Source organism: Homo sapiens, chromosome 16 (assembly GCF_000001405.40).
Source record: "Homo sapiens chromosome 16, GRCh38.p14 Primary Assembly".
Taxonomy (NCBI): domain Eukaryota; kingdom Metazoa; phylum Chordata; class Mammalia; order Primates; family Hominidae; genus Homo; species Homo sapiens.
Genome location: NC_000016.10, coordinates 27,661,988 through 27,688,190, shown reverse-complemented (window position 1 = coordinate 27,688,190; position 26,203 = coordinate 27,661,988). Strand labels below are relative to the sequence as shown.

The 26,203-nt window shown below is 44.6% G+C and overlaps 1 protein-coding gene and 1 long non-coding RNA gene across 19 annotated transcripts in view; one reads left to right on the top strand and one right to left on the bottom strand.

The window, feature by feature from the left end:
• KATNIP (katanin interacting protein) overlaps positions 1-26,203 on the bottom strand; it is a 230,201-nt gene that overhangs the window by 92,154 nt on the left and 111,844 nt on the right. For 17 of the 18 annotated variants that reach the window (XM_005255201.4, XM_005255202.4, XM_011545775.3 and 14 more), the window contains 2 exons: positions 10,195-10,462; positions 6,661-6,792 (listed from right to left, as the gene is read on the bottom strand). In XM_005255201.4, coding sequence (XP_005255258.1) covers positions 6,661-6,792; positions 10,195-10,462 — 400 coding nt within the window. Of the gene's footprint in view, positions 1-6,660; positions 6,793-10,194; positions 10,463-26,203 lie in introns of those variants that run through there. The other variant, XM_047433845.1, reaches the window with a different exon arrangement.
• On the top strand, positions 8,976-25,461 carry LOC107984874 (uncharacterized). Its single transcript, XR_001752113.3, has 3 exons — positions 8,976-9,251; positions 17,463-17,816; positions 18,507-25,461. It is a non-coding gene; the product is annotated as an uncharacterized LOC107984874 (long non-coding RNA).

Below are 26,203 nucleotides of genomic sequence, written 5' to 3'. Positions count from 1 at the left end.
AGCGCTAGGATTACAGGTGTGAGCCACCATGCTTGGCCAACAATCTGTGTTTTAATTGGCTTTGCAAGTAATTCTGATGCATGTCCAAGTTTGAGAACCACTGGGCTAGAGAAGTGTAAAGCTAAGTGATGAAACAGCTTCCCGAGAGACCATCTGAGCACCAGGATCCCACCATCCCTGAGGCCAATTCTACTATTCTGGAATTTTTAGGTCTGTGAGCAAGACATTCTCCTTTGTTGCTTGGGCTGATTAGGGTTTCTGTCACTTACTGTTAATGAACGCTGGCTAATATATTAAGAGTCTCTGGACTTTGGCAGAATGGTCTTGCTGTTGCAGGTTTTCCTGACAGGAACACTAAGTACAGGGCTGTCAAATTCCTCTAATTCACTCACACTGAGGGGTGTTGCTTTATTTCTGTGGTTGGCAGCTTGTCTGGGAAAAGTGGTTCAGATATATCACTTCCCTAGAGCACTGTGACAACTTGGACAGTAAACTTTCTGCATTAAAGACTAATGTTCTTTCACCCTCAAGAAGACAACAGGTTTCTAGAAGGAGATTATATTAGCTTTTCTGGAAGGCTTACGGATTGAGGTTGGAGCAATAGAGGACATGAGGCCCTTTCATTAGAACTAGGGACAGTTGCAGTGATAGAAAGGAATGAAGCTCTCTTGGAGTTGCATCACACACACATTTAATTGACACAAATTCAATTTTATGGGCTTAGTCTAAGAAAAAGGGGCAAGGGGAGAAATAACTCTTTATGGGGTACAAGCAAAAGGTTACACTTCTGGAATAGCAGACTATCTAATTCAGACCAACCTCTTGCTGGAACACAACTAGGAAACCTAGAAAATATTTTTAAATATTTAAAAAATCTATTTGAAAAAAAAAAGAGATCGTTTGAAGGCATGGAGAATGAACAGGGCTGTGAAGAATTACAGGGATATAGTAGACTGGAGAAAGAAACTCAGAGATGTAGACCCAACGTCTTGGAGGCCTTTCCTCTTAAGGTGCTACTGATTCTGATGAGAGCTGCCACAAGGCTGGGAAGCTGAGCAGAGCTGGCAACAGGTTCAGAGGCTACAGTCTGGGAGTGAGGGTGACCTGGAAGTAGCCAGGAGTGAAGGGCACAGAAAGGTTAACAATGTGGGCGAATCCAAATTACTGCTGATTATATAAAATAATAATCAGTAGTAATAATGTCTACTACTAATAATAATCAGTAGTAATAATCACTAGAAATAATGTCTAGTGGTGTTTAAAAGCTAGAGAGAATTAAAATGCATACAACAGTATTTAAGTTGGGAAAGGAAAAAATAGAGTTAGAGTTTGTAAGATACTTCCAATAAATGAGAAGTGGTAAACTTGCTAATTTAAAGTAAACCCTAGTAAGTCAAGAATGCATGTTGTAATCTCTGGTAATGACTAGAATAATAATAAAAAAAGAATGTATAACTAACAAGCTAATAGACAGGAAAAAAGAGAAATAATACAAAGCAATCAGTTCAAAGGAAGGCAAGAAAGGAGAGAAAGAGAAACATAAAACAGGAAAAACAAATAAAAAGCAAACAATAAGATAGTAGATGTAAACTCACATATATCAGCAATTACATTAAACATAAATGGACTGAATGCTCCCATTAAAACGCATAGATTGTTAGAGGATAAAACTAAAAACCAATTACGTGCTGCTTATAAGAGACAAACCTTAATATAAAGATACAGAAAGTTTGAAACTGAAAGGATAAAAAACAGTACACCATACAAATACTAACCAAAAGAAAGCCGGAGTAGCTTTATATCAGACAAAGTAGACTTTAAGGCAAAAAGCATTACTAGAGTGAGAAACAACACATAATGATAAAAGGTTCAATTCCCTTAGAAGATATAAAAAGTCAAATTCTGTATGTACCAAAAAAGACATCCCTCCCCGACCCCAGATACAGAGTAAAGCATACAAGCAGCCCACCCTCCAGATGTTGCCTTGAGGAGAGTGAGTTGGTTTGTGATTCTGCTGCACTTTTAGGAAGTTTCAGGTTCCTTGTGTCTCTGGTGGTGTGAACATCCCAGTGTTCTGAGCATGATGCCAGTGTCTAAAAACACACATTTCCCCTACAACCCTGACCCTAAACAAGGCCAGCTGCTTCTTCTGGGGCTCAGCCAAGAAGCTGTGATTTTTCCCACACTGGAGGAGAGACAGACTGTCTTGGGCTTACTGAGAGTTCATGTATCTGTATGAGGTCATCTGTATAAACCAATACATGCTGCACTTAATCATCAATTTGAGGGATTTCTAACGGTAACTCTGGTCTCCTGCACTTTTTACTTCCTTTACAGCCTAATATCTAGGTGAGATGTGGCTCTACCATAATCCCATTTCAGTGTGAGAGCAGTGACAATGCCAGGCTTTTCAGCTTTCCTCTTAGCCACAGAACTCTTTCTTCAAATTTGACTTATGTTAGAGCCAAGTATATTGAATAAGCAAAGGCTGAGCTCCAAACCTGTTCAAAATAAGAATTCCACTACCTCAAATAGTGTCCTCTTTAGGAGTACTGATGGAACAAACTACCCTAAGAACTAAATACCAGGAATAGCTGGTAATCTGATCTTTATTAAATGGACCCAGTGACATGCATTTTTTGTATGAACGCATGCTTCTTTGCCATGGTGGCCAGGAAGCTCAGTGTTACAGCTGTGACTACTTTAGGCATTCATTTGTTCACCCCCTGGTTTCATCTTATTTTTCTACTCTTGTTTTCTCTCTAGTTTCATTTTCTTAAATTTTTTATTTATTTATTTTTGGACAGAGTCTCGATCTGTTGCCCAGGCTGGAGTACAGTGGTCCAATCTCAGCTCACTGCAACCTCTGCCCCTCGGGTTCAAGCAATTCTCCTGCCTCAGCTTCCCGAGTAGCTGGGATTACAGGTGCGTGCCACCATGTCCAGGTAATTTTTTGTGTGTGTTTTAGTAGAGATGGGGTTTTGCCATGCTGCCCAGGCTGGTCTTGAACTCCTGGGGTCAAGCGATCCACCCACCTTGGCCTCCCAAAGTGCTGGGATTACAGGCATGACCCACTGCGCCTGGCCTCCTCAAATACTTTTCAAAGTCTTGCACTACTCACTGTATATAAAACTTTGTTAGTCCATGTCAGAACTTTTTGGAAAAAGGCAGATCATAAATTAATTAAGCTCTATTTCTCAAAGTGCTAGACATGAAAGCATATATTATGGGTTGAATTGTGTCCCCTAAAAAGGTCATTGAGGCCCTAACCCCTAGTACCTGTGACTGTGACCTTATTTGGAAATAGGGTGTTTGCAGATGATCAAGTTAAGATGAAGTCATTAGGTTGGGCATTCATCTGTCTTTATAAAAATGGCACATTTGGACACAGAGACAGAGACATACATGGAGAATACCATGTACAGATTGGAGTTATGTTGCCACAAGCCAAGGAACTGTCAGAAGTTAGGAGAGAGGCCTGGAATGGACTACCCCCCAGTGCCTTCAGAAAATGGCCCTTGCCAACACCTTGAATTTAGACTTGGAGCCTTGAGAACTGTGAGATGATACGTTTCCATTGCTTAAGCCACTCTGATTGTGGTACTTCGTTATGGCTGCCCTAGCAAGCTAATGCACTATGCCAGATGATTTTAGTTGATACATGGTTCAACTTTTAAAATACTAATATATATATATTGATGAGCATGAGAAAAAAGTATAACAAGTGACTCAAACCTCTGATTTTCAGGCATGTTACTGCTTAGGACTAGGCTGACGTGGGTATTAATTAAGTGGTAATTAATGTGGGTAATTAAGCAAATAATAGTTTAGTTGGCACAAGAGGGGCTTATAGTGGAGTAATTAAGAGCAGAGATTCTGCAGCCCAGGTTCTCAAATACTGGCTTCATCACTTACAGGCTGTGTGATCTTGGACAGATTCCTTAACCTCTCTGTGCCTCCATCTCCTCTGTACAATAATATTGATAATAGCAGTACCTATTGCACGGGGCTGTGTGGATGATTAAATGCAAGATTACATATGTAGTCCTACACACAGCTTGGGAGCTAGTTCAGTGCTTTGTAAGTACTGACCCTTAATTTTGTTACTTGAATATGGAAAAAATAGCAATCTTGGCACATATACAAAGGAGGGAAGTCCCAGTTAGCTCAGTAGGATGCTGGGAAAGGTACACGACCACCACCGTGCCACTCCTGCCCTACTAGGGGCTCTAGGGGGGTTCGTGCAGTGGCATACTTTTTTACCAACTTGTTTTGGAGGAACTTCTGAAAAGCCATTTAGATTGGTTCAGATAGTGAAGACAGTACCAGCAGGATAGACTGGAGGCTTGTCAACCTGAACAGCAGTCGGTGAGGCCAATCTAGGAGATGCAGAAGGAACAATGGCACCTGGGACTGCCACCCCTACTCCCCACCTGCTGAGGGAGCTCCGAAAGCAGACTCAGGCCTTTATCTCGCCCCATACCTCCTTCTCCTCTCTCTCCCTTTCCCAGCTCCCATCTCACCAAAGTTGACAGAATCAAAATTCGCCAGACTTTTCTGACATCTTTCATGTTCTATTTGGCTCTTTTCCCCTACAGATCATTTCTCCATTATCTAGTTAACAATGTGACAACTCTGTGACGCTATTGGCTGCAGGAACCTTGACATGCCGACAGGGGTTGCCTCCCACTCCTACCTTCCTCGGGCCCCAGGCAGGCCTCTTTCCAGGCTCTGGGTCCCACCAAAAAGTCCCCAGGAACCAGTTTGGGGATAGCTCTGCCCCACTGGAGTCTGGCTCCTCCAACACCTTGAATTTAGACTTCCAGCCTCGAGAACTGTGAGATGATACATTTCCATTGTTTAAGCCACTCTGATTGTGGTACTTTGAAGGCCCCACTGGGATGCAGGCTCCAGTTAGCCACAGTTCTTCCTGGTCACTACAGGCTGAAGCAGGATGCAGATCAGAGACTTAGGACAGGGGTCTTGGTACTGCATGGCTTGTGCATGCACAGATCCCAACTCCGGGACCTGGGTTGCCTCAGTCTCCTTTGCTAGTGACACAGACTCAAATCCTATCCCAGTGCCTTAATCTTGTTTTCTGTTGCTTATAACAGAATAACTGAAACTAGGTAATATCAAAAGGAAAGGAATTTATTTCTTATAGTTATAGAAGCTGAGAAGTCCAAGGTCAAGGGTGCCGCATCTGACGAGGGCCTTCTTGCTGGTGGGGACTCTGCAGAGTCTCGAGGCAGTGCATGGTGAGGGGATGAGTGTGCTAGCTCAGGTCTCTCTTCTTCTTCCTATAAAACCACCAGTCCCACTCCCATGATAACCCTTTAATCCATTAACCCATGAATGCATTAATCCACTGGACAAGCCTTCATGACCTCTTCACATCTTAAAGGGCCCACCTCTCAGTATTGCCACATTGGGGATTAAATTTCAACATGAGTCTTGGAGGGGGCAAATATTCAAACCATGCCACCCAGCCACATGATAAGCCATGGCCCCCCATCACTGTAGGCTCCCCAGCGCCCAGGTTCTTACCCTAGGTTATTTAGGATAGAAAGTCACAACTAATCTCATACCTACAACTGGCTCCTTAGCAAGCCCAATTACTGTCTGGATCCATCCCCTGGTAACATCGAGACTGAGCCCCCACCCTCTACATCTTGAACCACCTGGTCTCTTCCTTGGTCACCTCGCATCCTCCCCAGCTCCCTATAGGCCAGGCTCCACGTGGCAGCCAGAAGAATCTTGTTGAAATGTAAACCAACATGGTAGCCCCTGCTACAAAGCCTCAGCTGCCACTTGCACGTTGTGTGCCTCAGTTCCTCGTCTGTGAAATGGGGACAATTGCAGAACCTACCTTAAAGTCTAGTTATAAGGATTATGTGAGATGGTAGAAGTAAAAGCTTACGATAGTGGCTGGGTCATCCTAAGTAGTGAATAAATGTAACCTCTCATGTCATTAGAACATAGACAAAGCTGGTCTGTTCACCATCGACTCTTTTGTACTTTCAGAATTGTGTACCATTTGCACATATTATTACTCATCTGAAGTAAGCAAGTTCATTTAAGAGTAAAACAAAAATAAAAGAAATTTTCAATGATAACCACACCTTGGTGGTGGAATCAGAAAATCACTCTCATGGTTACTTTAATGCGTTGGCTTGACTGGGCCACAGGAAACCCAGATATCTGGTCAAATATTATTCTGAGTGTTTCTGAAGGAGCATTTTTGGATGACATTAACATATTCATCAGGAGAGTAAGGCAGATTGCCCTCCACCATGTGAGTGGGCCTCGGCCAATCAGGTGACGGCTTGAATCAAACAAAAAGACCAGCCCTCCCCCAAGTGAGGGTGACTTCTCCAGTCAACTGCCTTGGACTTCACCTCTGACATAGGCTCTTCCTGCACAGCGCACTCGCTCCTCCACAACTGCATGAGCCAATTCCTTATCCTAAGCTCTCTCTCTCACTCTCCCTCCATATCCTTTTCATTCTGTTCCTCTGCAGACCCCTGACTAATACATTTGCTAAAGGGCAGCTAGCCCTCTGCAAGGAGGGTAATGAAGTGCGGCCTCCCATCATGGCACCCCAGAGAGTGACCCAGTCGCAGCCCTGCTCCCCTGCTCAGGGGCCCCCGGAACTCTTACTGGAGCACATCCTCTCCTGGTCTGGGAATACAGCAGGAGCTTGGGGAGTCAGGTTTGGCTCAGGTTTGGTGGGAACGAAAACCTCAGCATTGTCCTTCCGCTTTGCAGACAAATTCCTTTCCCTTTTATGACCTGTAGGAAAACAATTGTTTCATGTAAGACGCTGAGCGCAAGCAAGTTGGGCATTCTGTTCAGGCATTTGTTCATCATTCATTCACTTACTCATTCAACAAATGTCTACGGAACTACTTTGTGCAGTTTGGGATTAGAGATGTGAATAATGCAGGCGACGAAACAAGTTTGCTGAGAGTCATGGTGTGCCCAGCACCACATTTTGGTAAGTACATAAAAGATTCTAGGACATGCACAGGTTTTCAAATTTTAATGTTTCCTGGCTAGGCAGCCAGGCGGTGGCTCACACCTGTAATCCCGGTGCTTTGGGAGGCTGTGGTGGGGGAACTGCTTGAGCCCAGGAGATAAAGACCAGCCTAGGTAACATAGTGAGACCCTGTCTCTAGCAAAAAATGAACAAAATAGGCTGGGTACAGTGGCTCACGCCTCTAATCCCAGCACTTTAGGAGGCCAAGACGGGTGGATCACCTGAAGTCAGGAGTTTGAGACCAGCCTGGCCAACATGGTGAAACTCTGTCTTTACCAAAAATACAAAAATTAGCTGTGTACGGTGGCAAGCACCTGTAATCCCAGCTACTTGGAAGGCTGAGGCATGAGAATTGCTTGAACCCAGAAGATGGAGGTTGCAGTGAGCTGAGATTGTGCCACTGACTCCAGCCTGGGGGGCAGAGCAAGACTTCGTTCCCCGCCCCACCCTCCCTCTGCAAAAAAAGCCAGATGTGTTGGCACGTGCTTGTAGTCCCAGCTACTCTGGAGGCTGTGGCAGGAGGATCCCTCCCAGGAATTTGAGACTGCAGTGAGTTATGATAGTGCCACTGCACTTCAGCCCGGGTGACAGGGCAAGACCTTATCTCAGAAAAAACCAACAAAACAAAACATGAAAAATGTCAAGAAATTCAAATTCTCTCTTCTCACTTTATGCCCCAGTATCACTCGAACTGTGCTGGCATCAGCTGTTCTGTGGCCTGGTTCTTCACACCCAGGAATGACTGTCAGGTCCCCTGCTTTTCCAGGGTGGAGACTCAGTCACCTCTTTAGAGCCCTGTCCCCTCCCTCCCCGTCTCCCCTGCAGCCATGCTGTCTGCAGGCCCAGTGGGTCCCACGTGGGACCATTATTAACACTGCCCTGACCACTTGCTGCTCCCGCAGGTGCGCCTAACACCTTTGTTTATTTGACAAAGGTTCCCTGAGGGGCTGCAATGTGCTGGGCGTGTGCTGCATGCTGGAGAAGTGGAGGGTAAGAGCCAGCCTGTGCCCACAGGCTGGTGGGTGGGGAGGTGTGGTGGGTGGAGAGAAAGACAACTGGGGCCAGTGAACCCAGCGCCATGATGATGCTATGGGAGCACGGGGGAGGGCTGGCCCAAGTGGATGTGGTGGGAGTGTGAAGAAGGCTTTGTGGAATAAGCAACTTCTGAGTGCGGTCTGGAGGGAAAAGCAGAGAGCCAGGTTTCAGGGTTCTGAGTGGAGAGGAAAGGGACTGTGGTCATCTGGGCAGAGGGAACAGCTCAAGCAAGTGTCTGGGGTGAGAACAAACATGGTGAGAGCATGTCTGATGGACAAATGTCTTCTCTGGAGATGTCAGTTATTGGGTGTGGATTTTCCAGAGCTGAACTGTGTCCTCTTCAAACTTTTTTTTTTTTTTTTTTTTTGAGAGGGTCTCATTCTGTCACCCAGGCTGCAGTGCAGTGGCACGATCACGGCTCACTGCAGCTTCAACTTTTCAGACTTAAGTGATCCTCCTGCCTCAGCCTCCCAAGTAGCTAGGACTAAAGGTATGCACTACTACGTCTGGCTAATTTTTTAAAACATTTTTTTGTAGAGATGGGGTCTTGCCATGTTTCCCAGGCTGATCTGGAACTCAAGTGATCCTCCCGCCTTGGCTGCCGAAACTGTTGGGATTACAGACATGAGCCACTGTGCCTGGCCCCCTCCAAACTCATACATTGAAATCCTAGCCGCCAGTACCCCTGACTGTATTTGGGCACAAGGTCTTTAAAGAGGTAATTAACTAAAAACAAGGTCATATAGGTGGGCCCTAATCCAATATAACTTCTCCTAAGAAGAGGAGATTAGGACACAGACACACACAGAGGGAAGACCACAGGAAGACACAGGGAGAAGATGGCTGTCTACAAGCCACAAAGAAGGAAAAGGCCTCAGAAGAAACTGACTCTTGATCTCAGGCTTCCAGTCTCCAGAACTATGAGAGAGTAAATTCCTGCTGTTTAAGCCACCCAGTCTGTGGTACTTTGTCATGACAACCCTCGCAAACTGACACACTGTCTGATTCCAAACATTCCCTCATTTCTCTTTCCTTAGGTTCATCATGGTTCAGAAAAGTTTGTCTTCTCTTGGCACACCCAGCTTTGACGGTGCACATGAATAGGATACAGAGGTGCAGGCAGAGGCCAGGCCAGCCCGAGTCAAAGCTTAGGAACAGAGGATGAAGACTGTTGCAAGTAGGCCTCTCCCCATCAAGTCCTTCTCTCTCCTCCCTGCCCCTCACCAATCGTTTTGCTCGTTCTACTTTCCAAGATCTTTCTTGACAAACTTCCTCCATTGGACACTGCTGTCTCTGCGTGCCAGCATCCTCCCTCCTTCAGGTTCACCTTGAGTTTCTTTTGGAGATGAGAGCTTTACCGCACTATCGTGTGGCTGGGTGGTGATAACCACACCCCTTAGTCCTATTGGCTGGACCTGGCCCATCAGAGCCACGGTGATCCAATCCAAGACAGCATGTGACCCCGTGTGGGTTGGAGAACCAGGTCTGGGACTTTTGCTGGGCCTTTTGGGAAAGAAAAATTCACTTTCTGAGGGGTTGCAAAGTCAGTGTCTTATTTAAAGGCAATTCTGCCTTTGTATGTTGGATAGTCTACTAAGAATGGAAGCAAGACACAGGAAAGCAGAGAAGGAGGAGAGCAAGAGGGAGAGGGAGATGGGAGAAGACAGAGGGAAGAGGCCAGAAGGGAAAAGGAGAGGGAAGAGGGGAGATGGGAGAGAGATGGAGACGGAGAGGGAAAAGAAGACGAAGAGGGAGAGGGGAGAAAATGAGTCTTGCTACATCTCAGAACCTTTCAGTTACTCAAGTCAATAAATAGTCCCTTAGCTTAAGCTAGTCTGTATTAGCCAACTGGTATGTAGATGCTGCAAAACATCTTACAGTGTACAGAACAGACACCTCCAACTATCTGCCAGGAATTTACCATCTGGAATTTCAGGGCCCTGAGGAAGCCTTTGGGAAGCTCTGCGTCTTGCAATCAACAGAGACCTGACTGATATACCTCCCTGGCCTGTGAGACACTCTACCCAAAGAGGAACTCAAAGGACCACTGGAAGTTTAAGTCCTGCTATTAGATGCAGAGACACCAATGGCAAAGAAATGATATACAAGACAGAGCTCACTTTTGGAAGCTGGGTTAAATTCCAGCACCACGAGGGTGTCTGGGCCTGGAGAAGAGCGTCCTTCTGTCTCCTGTTCCCCGTGAACATCTTTCTGAGTCCAGTCGCCACTGGAAGGAGGGCGGTCATGTCTGGGATGGCCCACCAGTGCCGGGTCCTCTGGCTCAGGCTCAGAGAGTATGTCTTCCTCAATAGAGTCATACTCATCGCTGGAACAATCCTTTTGTTTCCTTTGTAGATTTACACTAAGTTCCAGGCTTCTTCTCAGCTCCTGCAAAAAGCCCAGAAGAGAGATGAGAGATAAATATGGTACCTTGAGAAAAACTTATTTGAAAATAGATCATTTGAACCAAAGAATTATTCTCCCCAAACTAACATTTAACAATATTATCTCAACCCTTGTGATGTCACTGCTTTGAAGACGAGAAAACAAAGGGCAGGGGAAAATGAGTAACTCCCTGGACAGAGCAATGTTGTTAATATTAACTGTGGTGTTTGTATCCCGGAGATGCCGGGGGAAGGTGGGGTGGGGGGGAGTGCACATGTGAAGGAGAGGGAGAGAGAAACAGACAATATGGTTTGTTAAAATCTGGGGCTTGTTCAAACAGATTGTGGAGTCCCACCCACTGATTCAGTGGGTCTGGGATGGGGCCTGAGGATTTACATTTCTAATAAGGTGATCCTGACACTGCTGGTCCAGGGACCACACTTTGAAATATGAACTCCCAAAGGCCTCCAAATGACCCTAAACTTCCAGATGGTAAAATGTCTGTCAGGTAGTTGTTAGGGGCTGACCTGCATATTGCAGGGTGTTGAGCGGCATCTAAATGTCATACTATTTAGCACTTAACTACAACTGCTTCAAGATTTTTTTCATGTTTCTTTTGTCTACATGAAATTGTAGATTCCTTATGGCTAAGCATTAAGATCTATATTTAGAGTGACCAGGACATGAATCACCCAAACCAAGACATTTCAGAGAGAAAGCGAGCACTACTATATTTACACTGGGACAAAAAGTATAAACGGAGCTGGGACAGTGGCTCATGTTTGTAATCCCATCACTTTGGGAGGCCGAGGCAAAAGGACTGGTTGAGAACAGGAGTTCAAGACCAGCCTGGGCAACACAGTGAGACCCTGTCTCTACAAAAAATAAACAAAAATTAGCTGAGTATGGTGATGCATGCCTGTAGTCCCAGCTACTCGGGAGGTTGAGGTGGGAGGATCACCTGAGCCTGGGAAGTTGAGGCTGCAGTGAGCTATGATTGCCACTGTACTCTAGCCTGGAGATACACACACACACACACACACATGCACACATATATATAGATGGGACTGTTTGGGCAAACCAGTATGTTTGGTCAGCCTAGCTATACTACCCCTTGTAGCCTATATAGTATCCAATGTAGTTCTAAGAAAATGGGAAGCAATCAATAAAGCTTTGATAATTGACCAATAAACCTAATAGTTATTGCAGTAGGCTGAATAAGGGCTCCCCAAAGATGTCCACATCCTAATCCCTAGAACCTGTGAACTCCTGAGGGCTCAGGAGGAAGTGAGGAACACCTTGAGTGTATAGAACACTTTTACCATCTTAGAGAAATCATCCTATACAGACCGATGATAGAAATATAGATGTTACAGGCACCACTGGTGAGGACTCAGGAAATGAACATGTAATTGAAAACTGGAGCCCAGGGAATCCTGTTATGTAGCAGTAGAATCTTAGCTGAATTGTGTCCTACAGTGCTGTGGAAAGCAGAATATGTAAGACATGAACTTGGATATTTAACTCAGGAGATTTCCAAGCAAAGTGCTGAAGATTTGGTCTGTTTTTCTCCTGCTGCTTAAAGTAAAATGTGAGAGGAAAGAGACAGACTGAGGGAAGAATTGTTAAGGAAAAGGGAACCAGGACTTGGCAATTTGGATGATTTTCAGCCTATCCAGATTGCAGAAGATTCTAAAATTAGGAGATTCACTGTCAGAAAAGTATGCTATGGAGAGAAAACTAAAGGTGTGGCTGGACAACCTTTTTTCTTGTACCTCAGAAAGATGCAAAATGCAAAGTATTCATTTGTATGGAGGGCTCTTTCAGGAGATTAGACATGTGGCTCATGGATCCCCTTAGACATTTCAGCAGAAGCCAGGACAGAGAGGGGATTTTCCAGGAAAGATTTGCAGAGGAGTCCCTTGTCTAATGGAGCAAATCCTAGAGACATACATGGGAGTCCCACATGACTTTTGAGAATGTCATACCAGGAGAAATACTGCCAGCTTGGACTGAATGGGAGAAAGAAAGAACAAAACGAAAGGTTGTCAGACTCCCCAAAATTCTACAGGCAGGAAATTGGCTGATGAAATGGCTCATCTACAAACACAGGCTGCTCTTCCTGAAAAAGGAAGAATGACTCCAAGGATGGAGCTGTGGGCCAAGAGAACAGAGCCCCGAACCACAGATAATTATTCCCAGGCCTTGAAAACTAACAGTTTGCCCAGCTGGGCTTTAAAATTGCTTGGGTTTGGTGATTCCTCTTTTTTCCCTTTTATTTACCCTTCTTTTAAATGGGAATTTTGATATGATTTGACTGTGTCCCCACCCAAATCTCAGCTTGAACTGTAATAATCCCCATGTGTCAAGGGCAGGGCCAGGTGGAGATAACTGAATCATAGGGGCAGTTTCCCCATACTGTTCTTGTGGTAGTGAATAGTCTCACAAGATCTGATGATTTTATAAAGGGGAGTTCCCCTGCACAAGCTCTCTTGCCTGCCACCATGTAAGCTGTGACTTTGCTCCTTCTTTGCCTTCTGCCATGACTGTGAGGCCTCCCCAACTACGTGGAACTGTGAGTCCATTAAACCTCTTTCCTTCATAAATTACCCAGTCTCAGGTATGTCTTTATTAGCAGTGTGAGAACAGACTAATACAGGAATGTTGTTAACTGTTATCCTACACCTATCCACCATTGTATTTGGGAACAGATAACTTGTTTTCTAGTTTCACTCATCTACAGATGAGAAAAATTTTGCCCCAAGACAGGTCATACCCAGGGTCTTACCCATAACCAATTTAGATGATGAGATTTTGGAGTTTTGAGCTGACGAGACTTAGATGATATTCTGGACTTGAGTTGTTACGGTAATGGATTGAGAGTTTTGGAAAACTTGGGATGGGATGGATGTATTCTGCATGTGGTATGGAGGTGAATCTTTGGGGGACAGAGGGTGGGCTGTGGTAGGCTGGATAAATAGCCCCCAAAGATGTCCATATCCTAGCCCCTGGGAGCTGAGGAGATGCTGCCTTACAGGGCAAAGGGACCTTGAAGATATGATTAGGTGAAGAATCTCCAGATGAGGACAGGAGCCTGGATTATCCAGGTGAGTCCAGTGTAATCATAGGCGTCCTTATGAGAGAGAAGCAGGAAGATCAACATCAAATAGAGAATACGTAAGAATGGAAGCAGAGGTCAGGGAGGAGTGAGCTATAGTGCTGGATTTGAAACAGGAGGACATGGCCACAAGCCAAGGAATGTAGGTGGCCTCTACAGTCTGAAAAAGACAAGGAAATGAGCTTTCCTCTCGAGCCTCCAGAAGGAATGCAGTCCCGCCAATGCCTTGATTTTATTTTTTATTATTATACTTTAAGTTTTAGGATACATGTGCACAACGTGCAGGTTTGCTAAATGCCTTGATTTTAGACCAGTGAAACTGATTTTGGATTTCTGACCTCCAGAACTAAGCCACCAAGTTTGCAGCAAGTTGTTACAGCAGCAAATAGGAAACGAATACAGCTGTCTCTTTTTAGAGTTCTCCCCCTTTCATCCCTTGATACCAAGTATTGGTGATACACATTTAATAAAATTAATTAATTATCTCTGTTGCCCAGTGCAGTGGTGTGATCACAGCTCACTGCAGCCTCGACCTCCTAGGCTCGAGTGAGCCTCCCACCTCAGCCTCCTGTGTAGCTGGGACTACAGGTATGAGCCACCACACCCAGATACCCAGATATTTACTGGGCAACTAGAACACTGGCTGGCACATAGTAGGTGCTCGACCAGTATCTGCTGAATGACTGAATAGATTCCATTGATGACTGGGTGGTGGCTGTGGGCAGATGCAGAGTGCCCTCATGTACCTTGGAGGTGACATTGGTGATGGGACCCTTAGCAAGTTACTTACCTCCTCTGACTTGCATCTTGACATCCATAAAAATAGATGAACAAATCCCTACCTTGCAGAATTGCTTTAAAGCAGAGGTCTGAACTGGGACTAATTTTGTCCCCCCACCCAACTCCAGGGGACATCCAGCAATGACTTGAGATTTTTTTGATCACAACTGGGGGAGAGGTGTCCTATTGGGATCTATTACATGGACACCAGGGATGCTGCTAAACATAACAGAATGTCCAGGACAGCCCCACAACAAAGAATGATCCAGCCAAAACGTCAAGGCTGAGAAACGATTAAAGCAAGTGCGGGTTCACCACTGGTGTTTTAAAAAATAACACCAGGTCTCCTAATTGAGTGTATTGAGCTGGTTCACGCAACCTTCATGCAAACCAGACTGAGGTCATGGCTTATGTCTTCAAAGTCTGACAGTGGTGGGCAGTTGGAGGGGCAACAGATTCACTGCTCCTCCCAGGGCAACATGAGTTCCTAGGCGACCTGCTGTTTAACAACAATTTCGGCAGCTGTAAAACTAGTAATCCTTTACGGTAGAATAATGCTCTGTACTCTAGAAAACATTTTCAACCCTTTCTCTCCTTTGATGCTCAGAAAAACCCTGTAAGACAGATAGGTAGAGTAAAACCCTGGGATAACATGAATTTAGTTAAAACAAGATAGCCTATTGGCTCTTATGCTTGGCCCAACTCCCAATTCTCAAATAAGGTCAACTTAGGTTCTGTTCTGCTGGGGTGGGGGAAAGGCTGGGTGAGAAAACAATGGGCACATCCCTCTCTCTGCAGCCCCTACTCTTGCCCAGTCACTGTGGATTACGTTCCTAGCTGGGAGACTGCTGTCACTGTCCAGGAAATCTCAGTTCCAGGGCCCCAAATTGTCCCAACTGATGTCTAAGGCAGAGTGCAGCCACCAAACATGGCCAGTTTCAGGAAGGATTTGGATGAGGCATTAGGACCCTTGAACCCATGGTCAGTTGAGGAGACTTCCTCTGGCCTCTTCATGACCGTCACTATGTTGCAGCCCCACATTCTGAGTGACTGAATTGTGGAGATACCCCCAAATTTGAGGAACTGTGACCAGCCTTTATGCTGGTCCAACTTCTCACAGCGATTAAGTGGCATAGCTGTGACTTCTGCACTCCGCCACTCCTCCTTGCTCCTTCTAGATTATCCACGCATAACACAGACTCTCTTGCATCTGTCATGGCCCAACCAATGGGGAAGACAATAAGGCAACCACCATTCATTAAGGCTTCATGCATGCTCATGTGCTTAGGTGCTGTGCTAAGGGCAGAGGTAGCAGTGCAGAGCAAGATGGCAAACCTCTGGCCTTATAGGAGCATACAGTGTGGGGCGGGAGGAGACAGGCAGGCAATGCATAAAGAAATATAAACAGGGGCATTTCAGAGGTGGCCAGGACTGTGAAGAAAGCCCTTGTCTGGATGATGTGACAGGGCGACTGGCTGAGCAAGCCCTGATGAATGGTGGTCAGGGAAGGCTGAGTGATGAAGAGCTACCTGGTAGTGTCTGGGGCACAAGGCTGTCTTGGGGGTAGGAACAGCAGAGACAAAGGCCAGGAGGCAGGAACGGCTGGAAGGCATGTGTTCCCTAGAGGGAGGCAGCAGTCACGGGGGACAGGGCTTTGTGGGCCTCAGGGAAGAGTGTGGATTTTGTTCTATGCCCTATGAGAAGCTGCTGAAGGGTGCTAGGCAGAGATACAATGTTATCTGATTTCTGCTTTTATTTTTTATTAATTTATTTTTTTGAGACGGATTTTTGCTCTTGTTGCCCAGGCTGGAATGCAGTGACACGATCTCGGCTCACTGCAACCTCCGCCTTCCGGGTTCAAGCGATTCTCCTGCCTCAGCTTCCCAAGTAGCTGGGATCACAGGCGCCCGCCACCACACCCGGCTGATTTTTGTATTTTTAGTAGAGACGGGGTTTTACCATGTTGGCCAGGCTGGTCTTGAACTCCCGACTTCAGGTGATCCACCCGCCTCAGCCACCCAAAGTGCTGGGATTACAGGCGCGAGCCACTGCGCCTGGCCTGATTTCTGCTTTTAAAAGATCTCTATGGCTCTTGGATACCAAGTGGATTTTAGGAGGTGGGACAAGGATGGAAACAGGGCTACCAGCTTTGCTGCAGTTGCAGGTGAAAGAGGAAGGTGGCAGCAGAGGTGGGGACAGGGAGGAGGCCTCGAGATCTATTTTGGAGGCAGAGATGACAGACATGACTGACTAGAAATGAATCATATGCATACCCTCTGACCTAGCCCTTCCAGGAATGTATCCTTTAGTCCTAAGTACACAAAGATCGTTGAGGCATCCTTTATAATAGAGAATGGTCCACATGGTTATCAATGAGAGACGGATTAAATATCTAATAGAGCGGGTGTTCACCGAGCCCCAGGCAGCTCTTACAAAGAATGAGGTAGCTCTACTTTTGTACTTCTTTGGGCAGATATCAAGATATACATTTAAGTAAAAAGAAGCGTGTTGAAAAATGTACATATAACACGAACTCAATTTTTAAAATCATTGTTAATTTCTATACATGTAGGTATGCATATATGCATAGAAAAAGTCTGGAAAAATAGGCACCTGACTTTTTATTTTTATTTTTATTTTTGAGATGGAGTCTTGCTCTGTCGCCCAGGCTGGAGTGCAGTGGCGCGATCTCAGCTCACTGCAACCTCTGCCTCCTGGGTTCAAGCGATTCTCCTGCCTCAGCCTCCCGAGTAGCTGGGCTTACAAGCACACACCACCATGCCTGAGTAATTTTTTGTATTTTTAGTAGAGATGGAGTTTCCCCACATTGGCTAGGCTGGTCTTGAACTCTTGACCTCAGGTGATCCACCTGCCGTGGCTTCCCAAAGTGCTTGGATTACAGGTGTGAGCCACTACGCCCGGCCAGCACCCAACTATTAACAATGATCTCTCTGACAGCCTTTCCAGGACTTTCCTTTTCTTCTTTGTTTTTAAAAAAATTATTTAGTATTAGCAGGCATCCAATTTTGTAATTTAAAAAAATGATACGTTTACATTTATGTTTAAATTTTGTCCCTCCTTCTTGCAAATAAATAAATTCCCTAGAGGAGTGGCGGGGAATGGTGGAGTGGAGGACCCTGGACAGCCAGCTGCCTGGAAAAATCATCTCTATCCCTGGAACACATGTGGTTCCCAAAAGCCAATGACAAACAGCAGCACTCGATGCTGGAAGACAACGGAGGAGCATCTGTCTAACTCGAGAATAAAGTATCCAGCCAAGAGGTCCAGACTGGAAAGTAACACACCATCCATCTCAAACAGCCAGAAACCCAGGGAATACAGACGGCATTCATGAGCTCTTCTCAGAAAATATCACCCAGGTGACAAAATCCAGACCAATGAAAGAGGAAATCAAAATAAAGATAGAGGCATGGACAAGCTGTGATCAAAGGTCTAATGGTAAGCGCTGTAGCCACTTAAAGTTTGAATAAATACTAGGCATTTATGCACATTAGGGAGATGGACCAGAATGCAATGCTATAAACCTAAGCCCTTAGCTTAGCTAACAAAAATCAGGAGAGGGCAGGCAATGTGGGTGGCCTAATTTTCCACACCAGAAAGTCAACCCCAAATGCATCTCAAATGGAAACTAGAGTTTTTTAAAAATGGCAACTCTAACCTCTTATTTCCTAATGTATTAAACCGATGGCTATTTTAAGAAATAATATTTCCTGTGATAAAGAAATTTGAATTTCAATAATTCCTCCTGTTTCAATTTGGTTTCTTTTTCTTCTTTTAAATTAATGGAAATTTAAATGCCATGATTGTATTTGCAAAATATATATAGGCCAGGCGCAGTGGCTCATGCCTGTAATCTCGGCACTTTGGGAAGCGGAGGTGGGAAGATTGCTTGAGCCCAGGAATTCGAGACCAGCCTGGGCAACAAAGTGAGACCCCCAACTCTATTTTTAAAAACTTAAAAAATGAAACAAAAAAAAAATTCCCTCTCCCCAAAGAAAATATATATAAAAGAGCAGCCTAGATTCGGTGTGGCTGGCAGCTTCTTCGCAAAGGAAACAAATGCATTTGCTCACACTGGATGAACCTAGACCCTTATAATGCTCACGTGATCTAAACCATCTGTCCTAGGGGCAGAGGGGAGACAAACTAAGGAGCAACATTCCCTGGAGGAAGCCGTTCAAAACCTTTCCATCTGGAAAGATGAGGACCTTGGGCTGGTCGCTTTGAAAGCCAATCTGCCTGTACTTCAAAGAGATACCATGCTGTGGGATCTACCAGGTGCTGTGAAGCCATCATCCAGAAATTTCTCTGAAAAAACATACTTTATAGCTTTGCTTCAAAATCTTGTTATATTTGATTTCAGTGTTCAGTGTTTAAAATGTTAAGTTCAAGCCCTTTCAACAGAAAGCCCTCTGCATGGAGGCCAGGCTGCCAACACCGCAGGTGGAGATCGGATGACAGGGACTGCACACAAATGGGTCTCCTCACTGGGGATCCAGGGAGAAGGTGGAGGGACGGACGCTGATACAAAGACTTAAAGGTAGTTTCTAGAAGAACCACTGACTGAAATGCAGCAGGGGTTTGATGGTCAGTGAATTAATGCCTTCTATGCCTGAGCTTCCTCTTTCTGCTGAACTAGGAAAAGTGACATCAGGCGACCATCAAACATGAAGTTTTTGCAATAATAGTATCAGTAACTGTAACATCAAAAACAATAGCTACTACTTGCTAAGCTTCTGTTACATTATCAGGCACTAAGCTGACTTATCTATGTACCTTATCTCATTTCTTTTTCTTTTTCTTTTTTGAGGAAGGGTCTTGCTCTGTCACCCAGGCTGCAGTGCAGTAACACCACCTTGGCTCACTGCAACCTCCACCTCCTGGGTTCAAGTGATCCTCCCACCTTAGCCTCCAGAACAGCTGGGATTACAGGTGCATATCACCACAACTGGCTAATTTTTAGTTTTTTTGTAGAGATGAGATCTTACTCTGTTGCCCAAGCTGATCTCAAACTCTTGGGCTCAAGCAATCCTCCTGCCTCAGACTCCCAAAGTGCTGGGATTGTAGGCATGAACCACCACACCCAGCCACCTCATTTCATTTCAACCTCCTAACACGCCAGTGCAGTAGGTCTCCTCATCTTACAGGCCTGGAGGACTTAAGTACAAGTTCAAGGTCACATGGCCAGTAATGGCAGACCCAGGGTATGGAGGAATGACCATCTGACTCTGTATTAGTCCGTTTTCACGCTGCTGATAAAGACGCACCCACGACTGGGAAGAAAAAGAGGTTTACTTGACTTACAGTTCCACATGGCTGGGGAGGCCTCACAATCATGGCAGAAGACAATGAGGAGCAAGTCACCTCTTACATGGATGGCAGTAGGCAAAGAGAGAGAACTTGGGCAGGGAAACTCCCATTTTAAAAACCATCAGATCTCCTGAGACTCATTCACTATCACAAGAACAGCACAGAAAAGACTCACCCCATAATTCAATCACCTCCCACCTGGATCCACCCACCACATGTGGGAATTGTGGGAGTTACAATTCAAGATGAGATTTGGGTGGGGACACAGCCAAACCATATCAGACTCTAAAGTCCAGACTCTTAACCATGTGATCATGTTTATTCCCTGCCTGGTACCAACTTGGAAGCAACTGGTCTCCAGAGAGGGATGAAAGTCAGGGGCACAGTGACTGTCCACTGACTTGCACAAAATTGATAAACCTGCCCGTAAGAGGTTTAGACACAAAGCTGCCTTGAGGCCACTAAACATGTTCATGTATGTGTTAAGTTTGAGTGGATGAAGCATTAAACTCCTAACTCTACTTACAAAGGAGAATGAGCTGGGTCTAAGTTCTGGGCCTCACTCAGTTTACCCTGTGTCCCCAGGTGAGTTGCTGAGCTTCAAGCCCTCACCTTTGCTATGGGAAAATGTGCCCTGATTAGCTCACAAAAAAAAGGCTGCTGAGGGGTCAAAACGAAATTAACAGCTAAGAATCAGTGTTTTGTGATTGCTTTAATAGGGTTCTAGTTTTTACAGAAAATTTAAAATTTTGATGATGGCATCTTTTATTTCTCAGATGCTACTGAATCTGCCTATTAGAAGCTTGGATGCTTAGACCATGAAGCCACAGTGGAAACTTTAAGACAGTCCTCAAGAGCTAGCAGCAGTCTTGGGGGTAGAGATCACTGACATGCAGGCAGAAAGGCCAGACCTCCCCAACCAACCCCCTGCCCCTGGAACCCCAATAATGTCTCTCATTTGGTTGGCAGTTTTGTAAAACTGGGAGTTGAATGTCTTGAGTCTGGCATATATTGCTAGTTGTGATAATTCCCACTAACTTCTCTTGTACTATATGAGGCATTTTACACATTCATATTATTAATCTGCCTGGACCATGAAGGCTTTTTACCCAGCACTGAAGAGTTAGTTGATTAATTTGTTCTTTTTTCTCATTCATCCATGTATTCAACACATTTTTTTTTTTTTTTGAAACAGGGTCTCACTCTATCACCCAAGCTGGAGTGCAGTGGCACGATCATGGCTCACTGCAACCTCGACCTCCTGGGTTCAAGAGATTCTCCGACTTTTTGGTTAGCTGGGACTACAGGTGTACACCATCATGCTCAGCTAATTTTTGTATGTTTTGTAGAGATGGGGTCTTGCCATGTTGCCCAGGCTGGTCTCGAACTGCTGGGCTCAAGCGATCCTCCTGCCTCGGCCTCCAAAAGTACTGGGATTATAGGCATAAACCACCACACATGGCAACAAATATTTTTTATTGAATATACGTGTCCCCCATAAGCAGGTGTGACTGCTAGGTGCTAGGGATGGAGTGATGAACAAGACAGACTTACGGAATCTACAATCTGGCAACATCTCTTATGTAATCCATAACAGATTACCAGAGTAATGAGCGCCAAAAACCCAAACTTAGGGCTTGCCAGTCCACGTCCATAATAAAGTGGCTTGTGCCCTAACTTTAGGGTCAACTCAAGTGATCCTCCTACCTCGGCATCCCAAAGTACTGGGATTACAGGCGTGAACCACCATGCCTGTCCTAACTCTGCATATTTTAAAAATCGCATTCCCGACCGGCTGGGCATGGTGGCTCACACCTGTAATCCCAACACTTTGGCAGGCCGAAGTCACTTGAGGTCAGGAGTTCGAGACCAGCCTGGTCAACATGGTGAAACCCCATCTCTACTAAAAATACAAAAATTAGCCGGGTGTGGTGGTGGACACCTGTAATCCCAGTTACTCAGGAGGCTGAGGCAGGAGAATCGCTTGAACCCGGGAGGCAGAAGTTGTAGTGAGTCAAGACTGCACCACTATACTTCAGCCTGGGTGACAGAGTGAGACTCTGTCAAAAACAAAACAAAACAAAACAAAACAAAACAAAACAAAACAAAAACTCATTCCCCTACATCAATTTTGATAGAACTAAGGCTAGGAAAATTTGAATTATACATGTGTTTTAAATACCTGAGCAATATCTTTAGTTTTCTGACACCTTCTTACTGCCATGAATTTTAATTCAAAGCTAAGTGTATTTATAAAGTACCCTGGAGTTCAGCCTCTAAAGTGCATCACTGGAGAAAAACCAAAACAATCTTTGTCTAGGGAAGAGAGTGATAGAAGACAAAATGAACTCAGGAAGTAGATGGGCCTGGGAGACTGCCCAATGCTTTCCTGGTTTGTGGGCCCCTGGCCAAACCCCTCAGCATCACCCTGGCTGAGCAATCCATAAGGAGATTGGATAGGGATAGCAGGATAAAGACCAAATATCAAGGAATGCCACTGGCTGACTAGAAAATTTCAGGAATTCCTGAAAGATAGAGGGGAGAGATCACATCCATAAAGAACTAAAGGAAAAGGAAACTGCAGATTAAAACATACATGGTGGGTTGGGCACAGTGGCTCATACCTGTAATCCCAGCACTTTGCCAGGCCGAGGTGGGTGGATCACCTGAGGCCAGCAGTTCAAGACCAGCCCGGCCAACATGGTGAAACCCCATCTCTACTAAAAATACAAAAATTAGCCGGGCGTGGTGGCACACGCCTGTAGTCCCAGCTACTTGGGAGGCCGAGACAGAAGAATTGCTTGAACCTGGGAGGTGGAGGTTGCAGGGAGCCAAGATCGTACCAGTGCACTCCAGCCTGGGGGAAAGAGTGTCCTGTCTCAAAAAAAAAAAAAAATAATAAAAACACAGACATGGTATATTAGTCTGTTCTCACCCTGCTATGAAGAAATACCTGAGACCAGGTAATTTATAAAGAAAAGAGGTTTAGTTGACTCAAAGTTCTCCACAGCTGGGGAGGCTGCAGACAACTTCCAATCATGGCAGAAAGCACCTCTTCACAGGGTGGCAGGAGAGAGAAATTAGTAAAGGGGGAAGCATGCTGGGCACAGTGGCTCATGCCTATAATCCCAGCACTTTGGGAGGCTGAGGTGGGTGGATCGTTTGAGGTCAGGAGTTCGAGACTAGCACGGCCAACATGGTGAAACCCCATCTCTACTAAAAATACAAAAAATTAGCCAGGCGTGGTGGTGGATGCCTATAATCCCAGCTACTCAGGAGGCTGAGGCAGGAGAATTGCTTGAACCCAGGAGGTGCGCTGCTGCATACCAACCTGGGTGACAGAGTGAGACCCTGTCTCAAGAAAAAAAAAAAAAAACAACCTCCGGAGAACAGAGCAGAAACAATGAAAGAGAATGATAATAACAGTAGTAATAATAAATGAAAAATTTCCAGTGCTAAAGAAAGACACAAGCGTGCAGATGCCCCTGGCTTCAGCCTACGGGTGAGCCTCTCTGCTGCCCCTTACTTAATATAGCCGGGGACAGGCTGCAGCCCTAAAAGCGGCCCCCCACTCTAGCCTCAGGGCTCCCTGTCACACATCTTGATGCTGAACTCACCTACACATGCACATGCACACACTGCTCCTTCTATGGAAGTTTTTACGGCCCTGAAATTTTTGCTGAAAAGGCCCACTTAGTGTTTTCAATGGGACAAAGATTTTGAGACAGATATATTCATATGGATGAAAGGTACACTCTCTCAAAAAACATTTTGACTCTATATGCAAAGAATGACAGATATTTGAAATATATAAGGCAAAAACAAATGCAGGGGAAAACTGACAAGTTCACAGATATCAACCAGATCAAAGAGACAAAAAGTAAGTCAAGCCCTACAGCGGTGGTTTGCTAATGAGTATGAGAGTTTCCAGGGAAGCTTATTAAAAATGCAGGCTCTGAGCACTCCATGCCTCCTCCAAATCCAGTTCTATACCTATGGGTGTGGTGTGAGAATTCACAGCTTTAATAAGCAGCCCAGGTGATGCTAATATAGGTAGTCTGAGACCACACTTTAAGAATCACCCAGTTAAGTATTACAACTAATCGTGTGTGATTTAACAGATATATTGAGAACTTTGTACCAAAAAGAGAATGATTATTCTTTTGAAATATCATAGAACATTCATAAAAATCATCTGGTAGGCCACAAACAAAAAACCTCAGTAACTTTCAAAACCCAGAAATTAAACCATCTTTAATTTTAGGCCATTTTAAATCATAATGTGGCCAAATTAGAAACTAATACAAAACGATAGCAAAAATACAAAACTAGATAAACAAAAAACTGTTTACTTAGAACGTTTGGGAAAACTCTCCTACATAAAGAAGAGAGGCTGGGCATGGTGGCTCATGCCTGTAATTACAGCACTTTGGGAGGGCGAGGTGGGAGGACTGCTCAAGGCCAGGAGTTCAAGACCAGTCTGGGCAACATAGCAAGTCCCTGTCTCTAAGAAAAAATTAAAAGATTAGCCAGGCATGGTGGCGCATGCCTGTAGTCCCAGCGGCTTGCGAGGTTGAGGCAGGAGCATCACTTGACCCCAGAAGATTGAGGCTGCAGTGACCCATGATCATGCTCTGCATTCCAGTCTGGGTGACAGAACAGGACCCTGTCTTAAATGAAAAAATAAACATATAGGAGGGGAAAAAAAAAACACCCTAAACTAATAAGCCAATTAGAAATAAATGGCCAGGTACAGTGGCTCACGCCTGTAATCCCAACACTTTAGGAGGCCAAGGCAGGCGGATCACCTGAGGTCAGGAATTCGAGAGCAGCCTGGCCAACATGGTGAATCTCTGTCTCTACAAAAAATACAAAAAAAAAAAAAAATTAGCCGGGTGTGGTGACACATGCCTGTAGTCCCAGCTACTTGGCGGGGTGAGACAGGCGAATCACTTGAGCCTGGGAGACGGAGGTTGCAGTGAGCCGAGCAAGACTCTGTTGCACTGCACTCCAGCCTGGGCGACAGAGCAATACTCTGTCTCAAAATAAATAAATAAATAAATAAACAAATAAATAAATAAATAAATGACAATGAAAGTATTACATAGTACTATATGGTAAAATTTGCAGAGTAAATACAAAGCAATATTCAGAGGAAAATGTATAGCCTAATTGATATATTAGAAAATAGTATGAAAATTAAATGGGCCAGGTGTGGTGGGTCACACCTGTAATCCTAGCACTTTGGGAGGCCAAGCGGGAGGATTACTTGAACCTAGGAGTTTGAGACCAGCCTGGGCAACATGGTGAGACATCTTCTCTACCTAAAAAAAAAAAAAAAAAAAAAAAAGAAGAAGAAAAGAAAAAGAAAAAATAAATTAAACATTTAACTTAAGTCAGGTTACAGTGGTGGAGGTCAGGGAGAACCAATGTGATACCAAAAAGTTTAAGAGAGGAATTAAGATGAAAGCAGAAATAAGCTGAAAAAAAAATAAATAAATGAGTAAATGAATGAATGGATGACTAAATAAATAACGTATACTTGCTCAATAAAAGTAAAAGCTGGAGATGGTTTGGCTGGGTAGATATAGACAGCTTTTCATATTATACTCAACTTACTTCTAAACTGTTTGAATCTTTTTAAATGAGAAGGCACCCATGTATTAGGTGTTAGATAAAATGATACAAAATAATGTAAAAATTGTTTCACATCATACCTAAGAAATTCTAGGTCGGCTATAAATGCAAGATATTAAAGTTATTCTAATATTGATTCAGAAGTTAATCTTTATTTTCATTAAGATTGAAAAATATGCTTTATTAAGTTCAATTCATCTGGCACCTTCATTTGTAGAAACACCCTACTGAGGGATGGGATCACTACATCTCTTACTTCTGGACCTGTAATTCATGGGCATTTAGTGCTTGTTCAGCATCATTTCACATCATTCATGCTCATCACCAAATTATTCCTGCTCAGCTTGCCCTGTGCTGTCTGACCCACCTGCCCAGGGCCCTTTCTAATGCCACAAGCCAGCCGTCTTTTGGTCTGAGCTGTCCAGTTGGTCATCCCTGGGGGCCTTTGATGTTTCTGGGTAACAGACGGGCTAGGTCAAGAGCCACTGTCAAGGAGAAAGAGCTCTTCCTCCTGTCTCATCAGGAACTGACAAAGCTTTCATTATCTAAACCAGAAGTTGCAAGTTGGTAGTCTAAAGGCCACATCTGGCCAGCAGGTATATTTTGTTTGGTCCACAGGAAATTGTGAATTAGGCTGGGCATGGTGGCTCATGCCTGTAATCCCAATGCTTTGGGAGGCCTACGCAGGCGGACTGCTTGAGCTCAGGAGTTCAAGACCAGCCAGGGCAACACAGTGAAACCCCATTTATACTATATATATATATATATATGTATGTGTATATATATATGTGTGTATATATATATATATATATATATGTATGTGTATATATATATATATATATGTATGTGTATATATATATATATATATATATGTATGT